At 47.6% G+C, this 20987-nt stretch overlaps 8 annotated features.

The window, feature by feature from the left end:
• Positions 5834-6128: a silencer, noted in NCBI's record as "tiled region #7768; K562 Repressive non-DNase unmatched - State 7:EnhWF". NCBI's record gives its function as "represses a minimal TATA promoter and a strong SV40 promoter by Sharpr-MPRA in K562 cells {active_cell/tissue: K562}" and the evidence as "EXISTENCE:reporter gene assay evidence [ECO:0000049][PMID:27701403]".
• Positions 8100-8707: an enhancer, noted in NCBI's record as "H3K27ac-H3K4me1 hESC enhancer chr6:37069635-37070242 (GRCh37/hg19 assembly coordinates)". NCBI's record gives its function as "activates a minimal SCP1, AML or CMV promoter by ChIP-STARR-seq in naive H9 embryonic stem cells {active_cell/tissue: H9 hESC(naive)}" and the evidence as "EXISTENCE:reporter gene assay evidence [ECO:0000049][PMID:30033119]".
• Positions 8708-9315: an enhancer, noted in NCBI's record as "H3K27ac-H3K4me1 hESC enhancer chr6:37070243-37070850 (GRCh37/hg19 assembly coordinates)". NCBI's record gives its function as "activates a minimal SCP1, AML or CMV promoter by ChIP-STARR-seq in naive and primed H9 embryonic stem cells {active_cell/tissue: H9 hESC(naive and primed)}" and the evidence as "EXISTENCE:reporter gene assay evidence [ECO:0000049][PMID:30033119]".
• Positions 8794-8933: a silencer, noted in NCBI's record as "silent region_17127". NCBI's record gives its function as "represses an Ori minimal core promoter by ATAC-STARR-seq in GM12878 lymphoblastoid cells {active_cell/tissue: GM12878}" and the evidence as "EXISTENCE:reporter gene assay evidence [ECO:0000049][PMID:35858748]".
• Positions 8944-9123: a silencer, noted in NCBI's record as "silent region_17128". NCBI's record gives its function as "represses an Ori minimal core promoter by ATAC-STARR-seq in GM12878 lymphoblastoid cells {active_cell/tissue: GM12878}" and the evidence as "EXISTENCE:reporter gene assay evidence [ECO:0000049][PMID:35858748]".
• Positions 9562-9611: an enhancer, noted in NCBI's record as "active region_24452". NCBI's record gives its function as "activates an Ori minimal core promoter by ATAC-STARR-seq in GM12878 lymphoblastoid cells {active_cell/tissue: GM12878}" and the evidence as "EXISTENCE:reporter gene assay evidence [ECO:0000049][PMID:35858748]".
• Positions 11939-11998: a silencer, noted in NCBI's record as "silent region_17129". NCBI's record gives its function as "represses an Ori minimal core promoter by ATAC-STARR-seq in GM12878 lymphoblastoid cells {active_cell/tissue: GM12878}" and the evidence as "EXISTENCE:reporter gene assay evidence [ECO:0000049][PMID:35858748]".
• Positions 15901-16725: a transcriptional cis regulatory region, noted in NCBI's record as "candidate enhancer chr6.2479 targeted for multiplex CRISPR interference". NCBI's record gives its function as "positively regulates PIM1 gene expression with high confidence in K562 cells {active_cell/tissue: K562}" and the evidence as "EXISTENCE:mutant phenotype evidence [ECO:0000015][PMID:30612741]".

Genomic DNA, 20987 nt, shown 5'->3' on the forward strand with positions numbered 1-20987 from the left:
TACAAGTCAGGAAGCCCAGAGCAGGAGGTGACTGACTTAAGGTAAGGCAGCAAGGTGGTGACCAGGCCAAGGGCAGGAAGAGCCCAAAGGGATGGAAGGTAAACACGTGACTGGGGGATGAGGGAAACCGCAATGTGATCGAGACGAGTGGGGGCATCTTCAGGCATTCATTCCACAGACTAACACAGAGCTGTATCAAGGTTTCCCCCAAGAGAAGGGCCGCTCCCCACCCTAGAGCGTGAAATGTCTTTGAAGTCTCCTGTTTAATCTTAAAATTCATTCACATGCAACATTCTACTCCCTAATATATAGTAATTTGTTTTCACGTCAACATAATTGTGAGATTTATTGAGTGAGATACCACTTTCCATTTACCAGAAAGGCTGAGATCAAAGTTTGTGGTTCTGGGGACAGGACTGGGATGGCTGCGATGGGAATGTGGAGACCTCTCACTGCATGCCCTTCCCTACCTTTTTAAATTTTGTGTCATCTGCAAACATTACCTAGTCAAAAAATTAATAAAATACTTAAAAATATGAGTTGGTTAGGACATGGGGAAATAGGCATTCTTGTTCTGGCAGGAGGTGGTGTGGACAGAAACTTCTGTATGTTGGACAATAGTGATATTTATCCAAATGTTAAACAGGCACACCTTTTACCCAATGATATCTGGTCTAGTCTAGGAACTTCACCCACACCTGGGGGAAACGACACCCAAGTCTGTTCACCACTGCATGATTTGTGCTGATCCTGAGAGGCTGGCCTGAGCATCTAACCCTCTTTGAAGACTATGCTGACTCTGAACAAAGACCAGAAGCTAGACTTCCTGTCTGGCGATCTTCTCCAACCACCTCTTTTTTTTTTTTTTTTTTGAGACAGAGTCTTGCTCTGTCTCCCAGGCTGGAATGCAGTGGTGTAATTTGGGCTCACTGCAAGCTGCGCCTCCCAGTTCAAGCGATTCTCATGCCTCAGCCTCCCGAGTAGGTGGGATACAGGCACGTGCCACCACACCCAACTAATTTTTATGTTTTTAGTAGAAACAGGGTTTCGCCATGTTGGCCAGGCTGGTCTCAAACTCCTGGCCTCAGGTGATCCACCTGCCTCGGCCTCTCAAAGTGCTGGGATTACAGGCATGAGCCACCACGCCCAGCCACCAACCACCTCTTGTTACATAACAACTGGGCTGGGTGTGGTGGCTCCCCTGTAATCCCAGCACTTTGGGAGACTGAGGTGGGAGGATTGCTTGAGGCCAGGAGTTCAAGACCAGCCTCGGCAACATAGCAAGACCCCATCTCTACAAAAAAAAAATTTAAACTTAGCTGAGCATGGTGGCATGCACCTGTAGTCCCAGCTATTCAGGAAGCTGAGGTGGGAGGATCACTTGAGCCCAGGAGGTCGAGGCTGCAGTGAGCCATGATTGTGCCACTGCACTCACCCTGGGCGACAGATTGAGATCTTGTTGCAAAAAAAGACAAAAACAACAGATGCCTACAGAGTGCTCGATTCGTGCCCGGCTCTGTTACATAGACTAAACCCTTTCAGTTTTCACAACTTCATGAATTAACTACTACTATCATCAGCCATGTGTGATAGATGAGAATATTAGGGCCTATTAGTGCTAACCTTGCCCAAGGTCACACGTGCTAACCAAGCAAGTGGCAGAGAGTGGATTAATACCAGGGCCCATGCTCTACATCGCTGCACTACACTGCTTCTCCGCACAATGGATGGTACATGCGTGCATATTAACCACCATTTATTAAATACCTCTTATTTGCTAAGCCACTGTGCAAGTTACTTCACAGTGTTTTATACAAGGCCATCTCTATAGCCAGTCCTGTGTTGATTGCAGAATGGGGGTGGGGAGTGCCACTGAGGAAACTGAAGAAAACAGAAGAGACTATTCCCACCTTTAAGAAGCTGACAATATGTGGCCAAGTGCTCCAAGAGCACTTGGAATATTGTGGCTCCAAGAGCTACAATAGTGGCTCACACCTCTAATCCCAGCACTTTGGGAGGCCGAGGCGGGCTAATCGCCTGAGATCAGGAGTTCAAGACAAGCCTAGCCAACATGGTGAAACCCCATCTCTACTAAAAATCCAAAAATTAGCCGGGCATGGTGGTGCCCGTAATCCCAGCTACTCAGAAGGCTGAAGCAGGAGAATCATTTGAACCTGGGAGGCAGAGGTTGCAGTGAGCCGAGATCGCGGCACTGCACTCCAGCCTGGGCAACAGAGAGAGACTCCGTCTCAAAAAAAAAAAAAAAGAAGTTGACAATTTGTGTAAGATGACAACAAGCTTTCCATTTGTGCAACACCTCACAGTTTTCAAAGTCCTTTCATTATCTCATTTAATCTTCTTCACAATCCTGCCAAATAATTTTCATGATCTCTGCTCCAGAATGAGGAAACCAAAGCTTTCCAAGTCACAAGGGCCTGCCCCCAAGATCATCTAACCAGCCAGGGAAGAGCTGGAACTTGACCTCAGGTCTCATGATTCCCCCCCACCAAGGAGGAATGGCACACTACCAAGACAGCCCAGCTCAGTGGTTTGTAACCTGCCCCAGCATGAAGACCCCTTGTTCCCTTTGGAAATGACTGCAGCCCTGCAAAGGAGAGAAGCTGTTATTCTGGGCTTTGGTAAACGGGGAAAATTCATAGTGACAAAAAACAATCAGGCCTTCAGCACAGCTGAAAAGGAGTAGCACAGTTATACACCAGACATTACTTACACAGTTGGCAGATAGTATTTGGAGTTCAAATAGACATAGAGCTTCTTGGAATAATTCTGCAGCCCACAGGCAGTAACGACTGGCCGGGCCTATACTACCAAAGTAGTTCAGAGAAGGCACCATCTCTAAAATCTGTGTTCTTGACCAGGGCGTGGGGGTAGAGGGGTATGGGGGCATTTAAATTCAATGAGGTTGGCAAAAATCAGGACTGAAGAAATAGTGGGAGCAAAGGAGCTTGGCTGAGGGAGACAGGTGTATGGAGAGACCCAAAGGATATATGGATGTATGTGTATTTCTTTTGCAGAGAAGGGTTGATTCTAGATGCCCAATGGCCATTTGAACAGTTAGAGTAAGAGGGGGACTGGGAGTGGAGAGAGTGGTCTAGAGATGAGATAATGCTAGTCAAAATCCCTTACCTGATGCCTTTGGGTCAGATGTGTTTTGTAATGCAGAGTCTTTCGGATTTTAGAAAAGGAACACAGTGCCATGCCACATATTTTGCAAAGCCCCCAGCAGAATCTGGGATGTCATCAAATACTTTAAACAAATACTTTAATATTCCTGCAAAAAAGTACATGGAAAATTCACACTAGGTGGGAATAAAAAAAACTCAGGTTTTGTCTGGGTGCTGTGGCTCAAGCCTGTAATCCCAGCAGTTTGGGAGGCCGAGGCAGGCGGATCGCCTGAGGTCAGGAGTTCAAGACAAGCCTGGCCAACATGGTGAAACCCCATCTCTACAAAAATACAAAAATTAGCCAGGCATGATAGCGAGTGCCTGCAATCCCAGCTAGTCAGGAGGCTGAGGCAGGAGAATCGCTTAAACCCAGGAGGCGGAGGTTGCAGTAAGCCGAGATCGTGCCATTGCACTCTCCAGCCTGGGTGACAGAGTGAGACTCAAATCTCAGGTTTTGTTGCCAAATGTGTTTCGTTTTCAGAGCTTTTAGGTGTTTGGAGTTGTAGATGAGATATTGTGAACTTAAAAATTGAATAAATGTTACTTTTGGCTTGTTTGCATTCTAAGCTGATTGACATGCATTATCTCATTTAATCCTATGTCAGCACTATGAGGTTATTATTCTCAATTACCAGTGGAGAGAACCGAGGTTAAGAGATGTTGAGTGACTTGCCCAAAGTCACTCAGCTGGTCAGTGGCAGAGTGGGGACCAGAACCCAAGTCCCTGAGATTCCAAAGCAAATTCTATCTGCCTAGGGAGAAGCCCATTCTGCCAACCTTACAATTTTGTCTAGGTCAACCACTCTTAAGAAGTGAAATTATCCATCAAGGAACAAAGAGAACAACTGAAGTCCCAGCTTGTGGTACTGAGTTCTCACCTATCACTTTTAAGTATTTTGGATGGCCGCCCTCTACACCATACCATTTCCCAGTGCACCATGTGCCAGCTGAACAAAACAGGCAGCCACTCCATGCCCTGAGCCTGTAAAGATCCCTGGTGATCACTAATTTTTCACCTTCCAGAATCTGCTCAAGGCAGTGCAGTGCAGCAGTTAAGCACATGGATGTTAGAGTATGGAGGACACATCCCAGCTCTGCAACTCACCAGCTGTGCAACCCTGCAAGACATTACACCTCTCAGGGCTTTGGTTCCCTTACCTGTAAGATACGGTATTGGCTGGGCACAGTGGCTCACGCCTGTACCCCAGCACTTTGGGAGACTGAGGTGGGTAGATCATGAGGTCAAGAGTTTGAGACCAGCCTGGTCAATATGGTGAGACTCTGTCTGTACTAAAAATACAAAACTTAGCCAGGTTTGGTGGCGGGTGCCTGTAATCTCAGCTATTCGGGAGGCTGAGGAGAATTGCTTGAACCTGAGAGGTAGAGGTTGCCATGAGCTGAGATGCCACTGCACTCCAGCCTGGGCAACAGAGTGAGAATTTGTCTCAAAAAAAAAAAAAAAAAAAAGCCAGGCATGGTGGCTCACACCTGTAATCCCAGCACTTTGGGAGGTCGAGGTGGCGGTTCATGAGGTCAGGAGATCGAGAGTGAAACCCCGTCTCTACTAAAAATACAGAAAATTAGCCGGGCGTTGTGGCGGGCACCTGTGGTCCCAGCTACTCGGGAGGCTGAGACAGGAGAATGGCGTGAACCTGGGAGGCGGAACTTGCAGTGAGCTGAGATCACGCCACTGCACTCCAGCCTGGGCCACAGAGCAAGACTCCGTCTCAACAAAAAAACAAACAAACAAAAAAAAAAAAAAAAAAAAAACACCTGCCTTATTGCTGTTGTGAAGATTAAGTGAATGAATATACATTAAGTCCTGAGAAAAAAGCTGTCCTAGAATAAGCACTTGATGTTGTGCCTATGAAAGAGTCTTTTCTGCGCCCAACCAACCACTCCCTTCTCTACCCTGCACACTGGCCATCAGAGTGCTTGTACCACCTTTCCCCCACTTATTTGTCTGCTCCGACACCCAGGATAGAGTGCAGTGGCATGATCATGCTCACTGCAGTTTCAACCTCACGGGCTAAAGTGATCTTCTCACCTTAGCCTCCTGAGTGTCTGAGACTACAGGTGCACACCACCCCACCTGGCTAATTTTTTTATTTTTTGCAGAGACAAGGTCTCCCTGTACTGTCCAGGCTGCTCTCTAACTCCTGGGCTCAAGCAATCCTCAGGCCTCAGCCTCCCAAAATGTTGGGATACAGGCCTTAAGCCATGGCACCCAGCCTGTATCTGTTTTTTGCTAATAAACTAACATATTGTAAGGAGGAGTTGTGCTGTACTCAGTTCTGTCCCAGCACTCAACACAATGCCAGGCATACCATAGGCACTCATTTACTGCTGAAGGAATGAATGAATGAATGGGCTATGTCTGCAAGTGCTTATAATTTTATTATGGAGAAAGTCATCAATTTGAAAATAAATAATATGATTCTCATTTTCCACAGGCATATCATAAAATCCTATTTCTTGTAAAGCCGTAGGAAAGGGGGTTGGCAAAAATCACATAAGTTGCAATCCCAAGACACCATGGAGTTGACGGTATGCTGGGTGATGGGTTGTGCCCATGTGAAAAATAGCTGCACTGCACATGCCAGCCATGGGACAGTCAGTGCCTCTGGGAGTCTGGAGATGGGAGAGGGCAGAACAATATGAAATGAGTCACAAATGTGCATGTCATCCTTGCTCAAGGTAAAATAGGACTGTTGGGTAACAATAGGAACCATGTCACAAGGCAACACGAGGCAAGTGCATGCCTTTGAGTGATGGGCACAACCATGGGTGTGGGGTTCAGAGGATGGAAAGCCCCCTTCCCCAGGATGCTTTCTTCCTCAATTGCTTTCTTCCAAATCAAGATCTCATGTGAAGCCAGTGGTTCACACCTGTAAACCCAGCATTTTGGGAGGCCAATTTGGGCACAATCACTTGAGCTCAGGAGTTCGAGACCAGCCTGGGCAACATGGTGAAACCCCATCTCTACTAAAAATACAAAAAATTAGCTTGGCCTGGTGGTGCGCTCCTGTGGTCCCAGTTACTCAGGAGGCTGAGGTGGATCACTTGAGCCTGGGAGGCGGAGGTTGTGGTGAGCCAAGATTGTGCCACTTCACTCCAGCCTGGATGACAGAGTGAGACCCCATCTCAAAAAACAAAAAACAACTCATGTCGTTGGTGGTACACAACTGTAGAACTGTAGTCCTAGCTACTCGGGAGGCTCAGGATGGAGAATCGCTTGAGACCAGGAGTTCACGCAAGACCTTGTCTAAAAAAGGAAAAACAGGCCAGGTGTGGTGGCTCAAGCCTGTAATTCCAGCACTCTGGGAGGCTGAGGTGGGCAGATCACCTGAGGTCAGGAGTTCGAGACCAGCCTGGTCAACATGGTAAAACTCTGTCTCTACTGAAAATACAAAAATTAGCTAGGCGTAATGGTGCACAACTATCATCCCAGCTACTTGAGAGGCTGAGGCAGGAGACTTGCTTGAACCTAGGAGGTGGAGGTTGCAGTGAGCCGAGATTATGCCATTGCATTCTAGCCTGGGCGACAGAGCAAGACTCCATCTCAAAAAAAAAAAGACTGGGCGCAGTGGCTCACTCCTGTAATCCCAGCACTTTGGGAGGCTGAGGCGGGGGATCACGAGGTCAGGAGATCAAGACCATCCTGGCCAACATGGGGAAACCCCGTCTTTACTAAAAATACAAAAATTAGCCGGGTGTGGCAGCACGTGCCTGTAGTCCCAGCTACTCCGGAGATTGAGGCAGGAGAATTGATTGAACCCCAGAGGCGGAGGCTGCAGTGAGCCGAGATCGAGCCACTGCACTCCAGCCTGGGCGACACAGCGAGACTCCATCTCAAAAAAAAAAAAAGAAAAAGAAAATGAAAAAAAAATCTAATGTGGGTGCATCTGATCGGTGGAACTTAGGTCACCTGCTTACATGTTAGTTGCAAGGACATCTGGGAAGGTCAGTTTCTGGCCTTTACTTTGGGGAAGTGGGATTTATGATGTGGGAAAAACCCAAAATAGGAAAGTTGATCAAAAAATGCTGGTGACTGTAGGCAAGGCAAACGCCCCCTACATATGGTTTAGGATTTTTTTTTCTCATAAATACAGAATACTAATTTAATCATTCTCTGAACCTCCAGTGCCTAGCTCAGTGCCTGGCAGACAGCAGAACTCAATACACTAGAAAGGAAAGGAAGAGGGAGGAGAGAGAGATTGCACATTTACATGCTGCCTTACCAAGCAAGGTTGAATGAAGACTTGCTGTTTGGGTACATAAGACTCCCAAGGCCCTTTAGGAATTTGAAGGAAGGGGACTCCCTTGCACATACATGCTTAAGTCACACCTGTAAGCTCTGGCGTACAGCCTCCGGACCACATGAAACGCTCGATGTGTCCTGAGTAGTCGTCCACTTTCTCTGTAGCCCACCTGTTTGCTTACTGTCACTCAGGCTGTCACTGAATCTCCTCCCCTCCCTAGTCCCAGGAGAGGTTTTACTAGTCTCTGAAGGCCAATCTAAAACAGTTGTTGCAAAGGCAACGCCAGAGGCCTCCCAGGGTGATGACTATGTTGACAAAGATCACTGGCACCTAAATTCAAGCAGGTCTGTAAAACTCTGTCTTGTTCTTTTTTTTTTTTTTTCTTTTTGATATGGTGTCTCACTCTGTCGCCCAGGCTGGAGTGCAGTGGCGCGATCTCGGCTCACTGCAAGCTCTGCCTCCCGGGTTCACACCATTCTCCTGCCTCAGCCTCCTGAGTAACTGGGACTACAGGCGCCCGCCACTATGCTCAGCTAATTTTTTGGTATTTTTAATAGAGACGGGGTTTCACCGTGTTAGCCAAGATGGTCTCCATCTCCTGACCTCGTGATCCGCCCGCCTCGGCCTCCCAAAGTGCTGGGATTACAGGCGTGAGCCACTGCGCCTGGCCTGTCTCGTTCTTCATGGTCAAGGTGGGCCATGACAATGATAACATGGGTCCTGCCTCTTAAAGTTTATATTGTAGTTTAATTGGTGAGCACACACACGCTTAAATGATGAGCAGCTCTCTGGGTGCCAAATGAAATAGGAAAAAGCAAATGCTCCCAAGGTTTAAGGAAGACCAGGTTGGCATAGCTGAGCTGATGAGAAAAGGTGCTGGAAAGACGGGGGGCTGTTAAGGGATGAAGTAGTTAGAGTACGTGGGAGCTGTGGCAAACCTGCATTCTTCCCTAACCCTTCCAAACCAGGTCAGATCCCGGTAGCATCACCACGGTACCCTTCATATCAAGGCTGAATTTCATTTTGGTGATTATCTGATCCGGTGTCTGCCTCCTCCATTTTACAAAGATCTTGCCATTGTGCCCCAGGACAGCGATAGGTGGGCAGAGGCCAGTGAGGACCAGGTCAGGGCGAGGCTGCTGGGAGGGAGAGGCTGAGCCGATCACAAAGACAGTCTGCAGCTTTCCTCCTCCCCCTCCCCCAGGGAGGAGCAGCTGATGTGTTTCAGGAGTGTTCCAATCCAATTAGTGCCCTCCCTCCCCTCCACGGTGGCCCAAGCCACCACTCCCTTCCCCGAGGTGGAGACTGGGTGGGGAGGGGGTGCTGAGGAGGTCTGAACATCCTGACCCAGCTCCTCGTGGCAGCACAGCTGGCTCGCTGCTACTGAGCTCAAGGCTGCTATGACAGCGCTCGTTTCCAGGCGACTGTTCTGGGGAATGCTCTGTTTTGGCAACCAGAGGGCCCCCGGGTAAGGGGGGCCCGCAGGACGCCGCGTCATTTGCATGGCAACCTCCTCCCTCCCCGAGCTGCGCGCTGCTCTGCGGCAGGCGGGCAGCCTGGCCCGGCCGCCCCGGCCCCTCGCCCTCCGCCCAGGCCCGCCTTGCGGCTCCGGCGCGGCGCTGTCACCGCCTTCTCCACACCGGGAGGCGGAGGCTGCACGCAGAGCTAGGGCATTTCCGGAAAGGCTGGTGCCCTAGGGAAGTGGGGAAATGATGCTTGGGGACAAAACACTGAAATGGGGGAGGGGAAATGAAATAAAATCTTTCCAAGCCAGAGTCAAAGTCACATGGCTTGGTAGCATCAAAATGCATTCTGGATAGCAGGGTTGGCTCACAAAATGTTTATTTAGGTGAACTCACAGCTAAGCCCTAGGAGATACTCAGAAAATTTCTTTTGGATCATTACACTGCATGTGTGTGTGAATTTGGGAATGGGAAAAAATATTTCTTACCTAGGCAAATAAGGCAGTGATATTCTTAGGAAATATTTTCAAATTCTTGCAGGGGGACTTGGTGACATTGTATTTTCTGAATTTGTTGGAAGAAACCGAAAGAGAAAATAAATTCCTGGGAGCCTCCCTTCTCTCCTGCATATACCCACCCCACCCAAACCACACACACCAGCACAAGTCCATGATGCCAACTGGGATACCAGGGCTGTGACATGTGGACCAACATTAACTGCCCAAGGACACATGCCCTGGGCTGGAACCTGAGAGGGGGTTGGGCCGGGGCAGGTCACCCCAGCTGAGCGATCACATTTCCCTGGCAGCTGTCCAAGGGGCAGCTCCCAGCTGCACCTGTTTGTGGGGTGATTTGCTTTTATCAGTATTGACACAGCAGCAGGGCCAGGGAATAGCATAGTAATAAATAAATGAGAGAGGGAAAAAAAATAAAAAAAGGCCGGAGCCACCGAGGCGAGGCAAAAATGCTGAGGTCTTTTTTTGCTTGTATGTCAGCGCATTCAATCCAGTTTCCCCACCCCTGAAATCTCTGAGGATCACAGAGCAGGCTTGGCATGGGAACTCTGGGTCTTAAAGAGATAGAATTGCAGAATCAGAGGCATCTTAAGATCCTTTTGTGCCAGGCGTCCCTAACCAGCAGATCTCAGGGTTACTTGCTACCCTCACCTGCCCCTACTGTTTGTCAGGAACCTCAGCAGGAAGGGAGTTTCTTCCTCTCTCTGCCAACTTTAGCATCAGGGAAGTAGAATAATTCAAGTGGAGGGTCTGGAGTTAGTCAAACCTAGGATCAAATCCTGGCTCTGTCTAGCTGTGTGACTTGGGGTATATTAACTAACTACTCTGAGCCTCGATTCCTCTCCGGAAAAAATGGAGAAAATATCTTTCCTTTTTTGTTTTGTTTTGTTTTGTTTTTTGAGACAGAGTCTCGCTCTGTCGGCCAGGCTGGCATGCAGTGGCATGATCTCAGCTCACTGCAACCTCTGCCTCTCAAGTTCAAGCAATCCTTGTGCCTCAGCCTCCTGAGTAGCTGGGATTACAGGTGTCCGCCACCACACCCGGCTAATTTTTTGTATTTTTAGCTGAGATAGGGTTTCACTATGTGGCGCAATCTCGGCTCCGTGCAACCTCTGCCTCCCGGGTTCAAGCAATTCTCCTGCCTCAGCCTCCCAAGTAGCTGGGATTATAGGCGCCTGCCACCACGCCCAGCTAATTGTTGTATTTTTAGTAGAGGCGGTGTTTTACCATGTTGGCCAGGCTGGTCTCAAACTCCTGACCTCAAGTGATCCGCCCACCTCAGCCTCCCAAAGTGCTGGGCTGCCAGGCATGAGCCACCGCACCCAACCTCCCTCGGCTTTCTTTCCAGGATTGGAAAAAAATGCAGTACAAAACAAAAAGCAAAACAAATCTGTGGAATCTGATCTATTCCAGAAATGAGAGAGGGGAAGCAAGAGCCTGACGCTCTCTTCGTTCCTCAAATAGGGCCAAAGGTTGCCTCTTGGTTTTTCCAGCCTTGTTGTCACTCTTCAGGGGGCCGCAAGCTGACTCACCTATGCTCTAATACAATATGATACAGTAAGTCGGATGTAAACAAACCTGTTCACCAGAAGCCACCTGACCAAGCCTAGAGATAAAATGCACTTGTAAAAATTACTAGCAATAAAGTCACTACCATGTTTCAAACACGGAGGCAGGTCTCCAGGGTCAGGCTAGTGTATCAGCCATAAACATGGTTTCTGCTCAGACCGCTCAGCTCTAACCCCAGGCCTGACACCTACCAGTCACATGCCTGTGTCAGGTTATTTTACTTTCAGAAGCTTTGCTTTTCTTGTCAGTAAGATGGGGGCAAGAATACCCCATCAGCTTGTTGTGAGGACCAAATGCATGAAAAGCATGTAGTAAGAGCTTCACAGGGAGAAAATACTTGATCATGTTAGCACATGGGATCATTACTGTTAGATGAATGAGGCCAGACACTGTCATATTTATCTCTATATCCCCAGATCCTCAAGGCCTGGGATTTGGTAGGTACAGTAATGTTTGACGAATGAATGAATGCCAAGGCCCCTGCCCAAAAGAAGTCAAAATCTACTAGGGAAATATAAGACGTCAACTGCCCATGCCACTCACATGTGGGAGACAGCAGAGGGTTAAAAGCCATTCTGCCAGTCCCCAGGCCCCAGAGGAGGCAGTCCCTTTGATCCTTCAGTTTCATCTATCCAGGATGCTTTCAAGAGAGGAAAACAGGAAGTATCCCTGATAGCCCCTGCTTGCTCTTTTTTTTTTTTTTAAATGATGGGGAGTAGGAGGAGGATGGTCCTTTGGGTCACATTTTGTCAGGAAATCAGCCTCCTTCCTTTCAAATGCTGGAGCTTCCAAGGGGGCAGATAAATAGCTTCTTGCTCAATGCAAAGAGAAAGATGTGGTCCAGGGTAACGAGTTAGGGTTCCTTAGTTGACCACATTACTGTAACCAGATTGCAGGTGGTTTCAGACTATGTCGTCCTTCGCTTTCATTCACTCACTCACTCACTGTTGACTAAGTGCCTAGCCCTGGGCTGGACCTTGGGGTTATGGCTCAGTGTCTAACGTCCAGCATATAAATAGACCAAAAGATACAGGACAGTGAGATCAGAGAAGGTGGGGTGAACACAGAAAATTAAGAACTCTAAAGGAGAAAACAGCAACAGGAATGAGAAAGAGGTTATAGAAGAGAGAAACATAAAAGAAAAAAAGAAAAAACCTGGAGAAGGATAAATGTATAGGAAAGAAAAAAAAAAACAAGTTTATAAGAATTTGTAGCCAAGACAATAAAAGCCTCATAATAGAGGTGCATGCAGGAGAAAGCCATAAGCTCCAGGGACACACAAGGATGACAGCATGGGTAGAGGCAGGAAGGAAAATAATGACTTAAGACTGCAGATCTGGTGCTAACTTAGCCAGCCCCAAAAAGAGAGTATTTGCTAACCCCTAGTGTGCTAAAGTCATATTTAAATGTTTAATTTGTTAATAAATTCAGTTATATTAATACTTTGTACATCATATTATGTACTTTGTACATAATACAATGTACATCATTTGCCAATGATGGACATTGGTTACATGGGTGGTTCCATTTGTCAACATTACACAGTTAAGATTTCTGCATTTCAAGGTATGTAAATTTCACTAGAAGTTAAAAAAAAAGAACTATAAGAAATAACCAGGCTGGCCAGGCGTGGTGGCTCATGCCTGTAATTCCAGCACTTTGGGAGGCCAAGACAGGAGGATCACTTGAGGCCAGGAGTTTGAGACCAGGCTGGCCAACATGGCGAAACCCTGTCTCTATTAAAAATACAAAAATTAGTTGGGTGTGGTGGCATGCGCTTGCAGTCCCAACTACTCAGAAGGCTGAGGCACGAGAATCACTGGAACCTGGGAGGTGGAGGATGCAATGAGCCGAGATCGTGCCACTGCATTCTAGCCTGGGTGACAGAGTAAGACTCTGTCTCAAAAATAATAATAATCATTAAATAACCAGGCTGGGCGCGGTGGCAGGTGCCTGTAATTCTAACACTTTGAGAGGCCGAGGTGGGAGGATCGCTGGAGGCCAGGAGGTGGAGACCAGCCTGGGCAACAAAGCAAACCCTTCCCACCACATATAGAGGAAAAGAAATAACCATCACGTGGGCAAGGTGGTGGAGGTAGAGATGAAACAAGAAAGAATGCTGATGATTGCTGAATTTGGGGGATCTATACATGGAGGTTCATTATATTGTTCTGTTGACTTTGAATTTCTTTGAAATTTTCCATAATAAAAGTTTCTAAAAGTGGTCCATAATGTGTCACTGTTATCCTCAAGCAAATTCTTTTGTGTTATCAGGAAGTCAGCTGAGACATTATCTAATCCAGTGTTCCTGTTAGAGATGAGGAAACTGAGGTGCACCTTGCCTTGTTCGAGGTGTTCTCAGATATCAAGTGGCAGAGCCGACGCTGGACTCTCAGGAAGAGCACCACCCTTTTGACCTTTCCACCCTCCCCTGCTCATGGGAAGCCAGCTCAGAGCTGGTCTTTGGCTGCAGATGGAATTTACCCCTTACCTTAGGTTACCTTTCCAATCCCCAGGCCCAGGTCTTGATGTGCAGGGAAATCGAGTGGGATCGGGGAGTCTCGTGGAGGCAAACCACTTTTCTCCTCCCTGTTTGGGTTCTCAAAGATAATCCTGAGTTTGCAGAAAGTCCATGAGGTCCCCTAGCTACTATATGTCAAAGGTGGGAAAGGAAACCCACACAATTCATCAAAGATTTCCGGCAAGGAATCAACACTGAAAGAAGAGTCCCAGCTCCTCGGCTAACAGGGGTGTTGCCTTAGTGCAGTCAATTCACCTCTCTTACCTTGGTTTTCTCACTTGAAATAAGAGAATGAAGATTTCGGGTTCTATTTATCTTACAGGGTTGACGGGAGGATCCCAAGAGAGGGGAAGCACTTTGAAAAGTGAAAAGGGGGGAGCGGGGGAGGGATAGCATTAGGAGATATACCTAATGTTAAATGACGAGTTAATGGGTGCAGCACACCAACATGGCACATGTATACATATGTAACTAACCTGCACGTTGTGCACATGTACCCTAAAACTGAAAGTATAATAAAAAATAAAAAAAAAAGAAAAGTAAAAAGAGGGCTCGGCACAGTGGCTCACACCTGTAATTCCAGCACTTTGGGAGGCCGAGGCAGGTGGATCACCTGAGGTGGGGAGTTCAAGACCAGTCTGACCAACATGGAGAAACCCCGTCTCTACTAAAAATACAAAATTAGCCAGTGTGGAGGCACATGCCTGTAATCCCAGCTACTCGGGAGACTGAGGTAGGAGAATTGCTTGAACCCAGGAGGCAGAGGTTGCAGTGAGCCGAGATTGCACCATTGCACTCCAGCCTGGGGAACAAGAGCAAAACTCTGTCTAAAAAAAAAAAAAGAAAGAAAGAAAAGTAAAAAGAGGCTGGGCACAGTGGCTCACGCCTGTAATCTCAGCATTTTGGAAGGCTGAGGCGGAAGGATCACCTGAGGTTAGGAGTTCCAGACCAGCCCCTGGCCAACATGGTGAAACCCTGTCTCTATTAAAAAAATGCAAAAATTAGCCAGTTGTGGTTGCAGGCACCTGTAATCCCAGCTACTCAGGAGGCTGAGGCAGGAGAATCGCTTGAACCCAGGAGGTGGAGGTTGTAGTGAGCAGCGATCGCACCATTGTACTCCAGCCTCGGCAACAAGAGCAAAACTCCGTCTCAAAAAAAAAAAGAAAAGAAAAGAAAAGTAAAAAGAGATGTACAAATTATTATTATCATTGTTTTGTTTTTCACCCAGGCTGTAGTGCAGTGGCGTGATCTTGGCTCACTGCAACCTCTGCCTACTGGGTTCAAGCAACTCTCATGCCTCAGCCTCCAAAGTAGTTGGAATTACAGGCGTGCACCACTATGCCCAGCTAATTTTTGTATTTTTAGTAGAGATGGGGTTTTGCCATATTGGCCAGGCTGATCTCGAACTGCTGACCTCAAGTGATCTGCCTGCCTCGGCCTCCCAAAGTGCTGGGATTATGGGTATGAGCCACTGTGCCCCATCAGCCACTGTGCCTGGCCCGTCCAAATTTGATGTAGCATTATCACAAAGTGAGGGGTGGGGGAAGAGCAAGAAATGACAAGGAAGGAAATCAGGGAACCTTTTGTAAGATATATATATATATATATATATATATATATATTTTTTTTTTTTTTTTTTTTTTTTTTTTTTTGAGGCAGGGTCTCACTGTGACACTCAGGCTGGAGTGCAGTGGCACAATCTTGGCTCACTGTAGCCTCGAACTCCAGGGTCAGGATGCATGCTATCACACCCGGCTAAGTTTTGATTTTTGATTTTTGTTTTTTGTTTGAGATGGAGTTTTGCTCTTGTTGCCCAGGCTGGAGTGCAATGGCATAATCGCAGCTCACTGCAACCTCTGCCTCCCAGGTTCAAGTGATTCTCCTGCCTCAGCCTCCCGAGTATCTGGGATTACAGGCATGCATCACCATGCCCGGCCAATTTTGTACTTTTAGTAGAGATGGGGTTTCTCCATGTTGGTCAGGCTGGTCTCAAACTCCCGATGTAGGTGATCTGCCCACTTCGGCCTCCCAAAGTGCTGGGATTACAGGCGTGAGCCACCGCGCCAGGCCCATTTTGTAGTTTTTGTAGAGATGAGGTTTCGCCTTGTTGCCCAGGCTGGTCTCGAACTCCTGAACTCAGGCAATCCTCCTGCCTCATTCTCCCAAAGTGCTAGTGCTGGGATTACAGGCATGAGCCACGGTGCCTGGCCTGCAAGATTCTTGAGTATTCTCTTTTGGGTTGCGTCTTTGAGGAGAATAGGCTTTGGGGAGCGGGTAATATAGCATTTATTGATGCCTTGCACCATGCCAGACATTGTGTTTTGTTCTCTCTGTAATATCTTGTTTACTCCTCCAAATCACCCGACAGGGAGGTACTGTTATTTTGCTCATTTTGCAGACAAGGAAACAGAGGCATAGAGATGGTTTGGCAACTTGCCCAAGGTCAGACAGCTAGTTAGGGCAGAGGTGGGACTCAAACCCAGTCCATCCTGGGAGTGAAGCCCATGCTCTCACCCCAGGCCTCTCATCTGAGAGCCAAGGGGGCTGAGGAGGCAGCTGAGCCGCCGAGGAATGGCTGGCTGACACCTGGGCATTCGACTCACAGTCAGGAGACCTGGACTCGAGCTCCAGCTCAACTGCTTATTAGCCATGTGACCTGGGCCAAGTCATGCCACCTCTTGGGGCCTCAGTCTCTTCAGCTGCAAAACAGTGATAATAAAACCTGCTCCACCTACTTCGTGGGGCGATGTGAGGATTCCATGAAATCAGTGATAATGCAAATGCTTCGAAAACAACTGCAAAGGGCTGCAGAAATGAAGAGATCATGGTAATTTCTTCAGAGAAGCGTCTCCTGGATTATCTCTTGGTGACATTCTAGCTCATCTCCTCCACCTATCCTCAACAGCCTGAGTGTTGGAAGTCAGAACCCTGACCTTGTGGGTCTCTTCCAATACCGCTTTGGTGCAGAGGCAGAAGACAGCTGTTACAGACCGTACCCACTTAAGAATTCTCCAAACAAACATATTAGAGCATTGGCTTAAGGTTCAATCCTACACCAGGAATTTCAGCAAGGGCCCCTGTCTCCTGTTTGTCGTAAAACAAACAGGCTTTCAGCTACTTGGGCAGGATTTAACTAGCGATCAGCCCTAGAGATAAGTGGATCACGCTCAACAAGCTCACATGGGAATAATTTGTACCCAATAGCAGTTTATAATTTATATCTTTGAATCCACAGTCAGGGAGTTAGTTATCTTTGCAGTGACTAGAGACACAGACTCCCCCCATATTACACGCCCCCTCTGTCCAACACAGAGCTAAATGAGAAGCAGAATGAGTAATCGGGAGACTGAGTAGTGGGCATGAAATCACAGTCCAATGTGTGAATCGCTCATTCTTACTAGAAGCCTGTAAAAATTGGAAGGTGGGACCTCCTTCAGTTTATCTGTTCTGTATACCACCCCCCACCTCTCGCTTACCCGTCATACCTATAGCACTAAGCACAGTGCCTCGCACAACAGCTCAGAGAATGTTTCGAAATGAGTGGAATTAGGGGAAAGAGAATGCAGTGGTTTCACAAGTTTCCTGGAGGTCAAGGTGAAATCTGGTGTTTGGCTCCTTCATGGGACCAGCTTGTTTGTGCCTCTTTTGTTGCGGCCTCTCCCTTCTGGAAACTCATCATCCAGTCCTGAATAGAGTAGCAGCATTCAACTCCATCTAAGCTTAAAGGGACTATGTTTCCAAACCCCACATCAGGAAACAAAGCTTGATGGAACATTTGAAACCAGGAATCTATATCCCAGAAGGATCCACGCCCTTCTGTTTGCACTTGGATTTACACTATCCTCTTTCTGCATTTTGACAGATTTTTCTGAGTCCAGTTTACCAGTTTATAGCTTTCCTTACAATGACTCAGTTACTCCTAAATACATCTAGGGAGATCCCTTAGACTCATCAGTAGACTTTCAAATCACCTAACCCAATGGCTTATTGATCCTATTCTGAAGTTTGCTCGGTTCTACACTTTCTTCTTCCAATGTCTTCTTGGAGGCCCCTACACTATGCATCTACTACCCAGAGCACAGGTGGGGCGGGTAGAACATCTGAGCACAGAGAGAACCCTAATGTGCTAGGTGGTGCAAGAAAGGTCTTGGATTCTGTTTCCAGCTCTGCCTCTAATAATGACTAGCCTGGCCAATCCCTTTAGTAGAGATGGGTGAAACCCCATCTCTACTAAAAATACAAAAAATTAGCCAGGCATGGCTGGGCACGGTGGCTCATGCCTGGAATCCCAGCACTTTGGGAGGCCGAGGCAGGCGAATCATGAGGTCAGGAGTTCAAGACCAGCCTGGCCAACATGGTGAAACCCCATCTTTACTAAAAAATACAAAAAGTTAGCTGGGCATGGTGGCAGGCACCTGTAATCCCAGCTCAGGAAAATCGCTTGAACCCGGGAAGCGGAGGTTACAGTGAGCTGAGATCGCACCACTGCACTCCAGCCTGGGCAACAGTGCAAGACTCCGTCTCAAAAAAAAAAAAATTAGCCAGACATGGTGGCGGGTGCCTGTAATCCCAGCTACTTGGGAGGCTGAGGCAGGAGAATCATTTGAACCCAGGAGGCAAAGGTTACAATGAGCCAAGGTCGCATCATTGCACTCCAGCCGGGACAACAAGAGCGAAACTCCGTCTCAAAAACAAACAAAACAAATAATCATTGGTGCACACATGACAATCATTGGTGTGTCCTTTGGTAAGTCAGTTCCCTCTAGGTCTCATCTGCAAAATGGAGAGGAAGGTTAGGCAGCACAGACTCAAGGTCTTAATGATCTCTTGCAAGTCAAGCACTCAATAAGTCATGAGATGGGAGAATTTGCCCACATGCTCGGCTTTCCCTTCTGTAGTTTAGGGATAAATGGTCTATGCTCCTATCTAAGGCATACACCTTCACTGAGCACGAGATCCCATCCCCTCACTCCAGCCATTCTCCCTCCTCTCTCCTGCGTCATGTTTTTTCTTCTTTGCTGAATCATTTTCATCAGCACATAAATATGTGTAATTTCACTCATCTTTTTAAAAAAAGTTGCTCTTGACCCTATGTCTTAGTCTGCTTTGTGCTGCTATAACAGAATACCAGAGGCTGGATAATTTATAAAGAAAAAACATTCATTTGGTTCACAGTTCTAGATGCTGGGAAGTCCAAGGTCAAGGGGCTGGCATCTGGCGAGGGCCTTTTTGCCACATCATAACATGGCATAAGGCATCATAGGGGCAACATAGAGGGGAATGAGGCGGGAGAAGGAAGGGGGCCAAGCTCAAGCTCATCCTTCAATGAGAAAACCACTCCCACAACAATGGCATTAATCCATCTGTGAGGACAGAGCCTTCATGGCCTAGTCACCTCTTTTTTTTTCTTTTTTTTAGATGGAGTATCGCTCTGTCGCCCAGGCTGGAGTGCAGTGGCGCGATCTCAGCTCACTGCAAGCTGGGCCTCCCAGGTTCACGCCATTCTCCCGCCTTAGCCTCCCCAGTAGCTGGGACTACAGGCATGCACCACCACGCCCTGCTAATTTTTTGTATTTTTAGTAGAGACGGGGTTTCACCATGTTAGCCAGGATAGTCTTGATCTCCTGACCTCGTTATCTGCCCGCCTCAGCCTCCCAAAGTGCTGGGATTATAGGCGTGAACTACGGCGCCCAGCCGGCCTAGTCACCTCTCAAAGGTTCCACCTCAAAACACTGTTGCATTGGGGATTACGCTTCTAACACATGAACTTTGGGGGACACATTCAAACCATAGCATCCTCTCCAGCTTGCATCCCCTTTCTCCACTCACCTTCATAGGAAAACGCCATAAAATAATTATTTATGTGGTCGGCCCTCCATATCCGTGGGTTCTGCATCCATGGCTTCCACCAACCAAAGGTCAAAACTATTTGAAAAAGGCCGGGAGCGGTGGCTCACGCCTGTAATCTCAACACTTTGGGAGGCCGAGGCAGGTGGATCACCTGAGATCAGGAGTTCGAGACCAGCCTGGCCAACACAGTGAAACCTCATCTCTACTAATAATACAAAAATTAGCCAGGCATGGTGGCGTGTGCCTGTAGTCCTAGCTACTCGGGAGGCTAAGGCAGGAGACTCGCTGGAACTGGGAGGTGGAGGCTGCAGTGAGCTGAGATTGCACCACTGCACTCCAGCCTTGGCAACAGAGCAAGACTCTGTCTCAAAACAAACAAAAAAATTGAAAGAAAGAAAAAAAAAGAAGCCAACAATAAAAACAAAATAGTGCAAATAGGGCCAGGTGCAGTGGCTCACACCTGTAATCCCAACACTTTGGGATGCCGAGGCTGGCGAATCATCTGAGATCAGGAGTTCGAGACCAGCCTAGCCAACATGGTAAAACCCCGTCTCTACTAAAAATACAAAACTTAGCTGGGTGTGGTGGCGCGCACCTGTAATCCCAGCTGCTCGGGAGGCTGAGGCAGGAGAATCGCTTGAACCTGGGAGGCGGAAGTTGCAGTGAGCTGAGATCATGCCACTGCACTCCAGCCTGGGTGACACAGTGAGACTCCGTCACAAACAAAATAAAAAAACCAACAAAAAGCATTCAAACATTATACAGCAGGAGTTGGCAAATTAAAGCCCACAGATCAAATCCTGCTACTTCAAATAATAATGATAATAATAATACAAATAGGCTGGGCATGGTGACTCAAGCCTGTAATCCCAGTATTTTGGGAGGCCAAGGTGGGCAGACAGCTTGTGCCCAGGAGCTCAAGACCAGCCCAGGCAACGTGGTGGAAACCCGCCTCTACAAAGACAAAAGTTAGCCTGGTGTGGTGGCATATGCCTGTGGTCTCAGCTACCTGGGAGGCTGAGACAGGAGGATCGCCTGAGCCCAGGGAGGTCAAGGCTGCAGTGAGTCATGATTGTGCCACTGCACTCCCCCCTCGGTGGCAAACAGAGGCCCTGTCTCAAAAAATAGTAATAAAACAAACAAAAACATACAGTATAACACTATTTACACTATTTACAGAGCATTTACATTGTCCTAGTTATTAAATTAATCTAGAGAAGATTTAAAGTATATGGGAGGATGTGTAGGTTATATGCAAATATTACACCATTTTATTTATTTATTTTTGAGATGGCGCCTTACTCTGCTGCCCAAGCTGGAGTGCAGTGGCACAATCTCTGCTCACTGCAACCTCCGCCTCCTGGGTTCAAGAGATTCTCCTGCCTCAGCCTCCTGAGTAGCTACGACTACACGTACCCCCCACCACACCCGGCTAATTTTTTAATTTTTTTAGTATTTTTAGTAGAGAGGGGTTTCACCATGTTAGTCAGGCTGGTCTGGAACTCCTGACCTCAAGTGATCCATCTGCCTCGGCCTCCCAAAGTACTGGGATTACAGGTGTGAGCCACCGCACCCAGCTATTACACCATTTTACATAAGAGACTTGCACACCCAAGGATTTA

This window comes from Homo sapiens, chromosome 6 (genome assembly GCF_000001405.40).
Source record: "Homo sapiens chromosome 6, GRCh38.p14 Primary Assembly".
In the NCBI taxonomy this organism is placed as follows: Eukaryota; Metazoa; Chordata; class Mammalia; order Primates; family Hominidae; genus Homo; species Homo sapiens.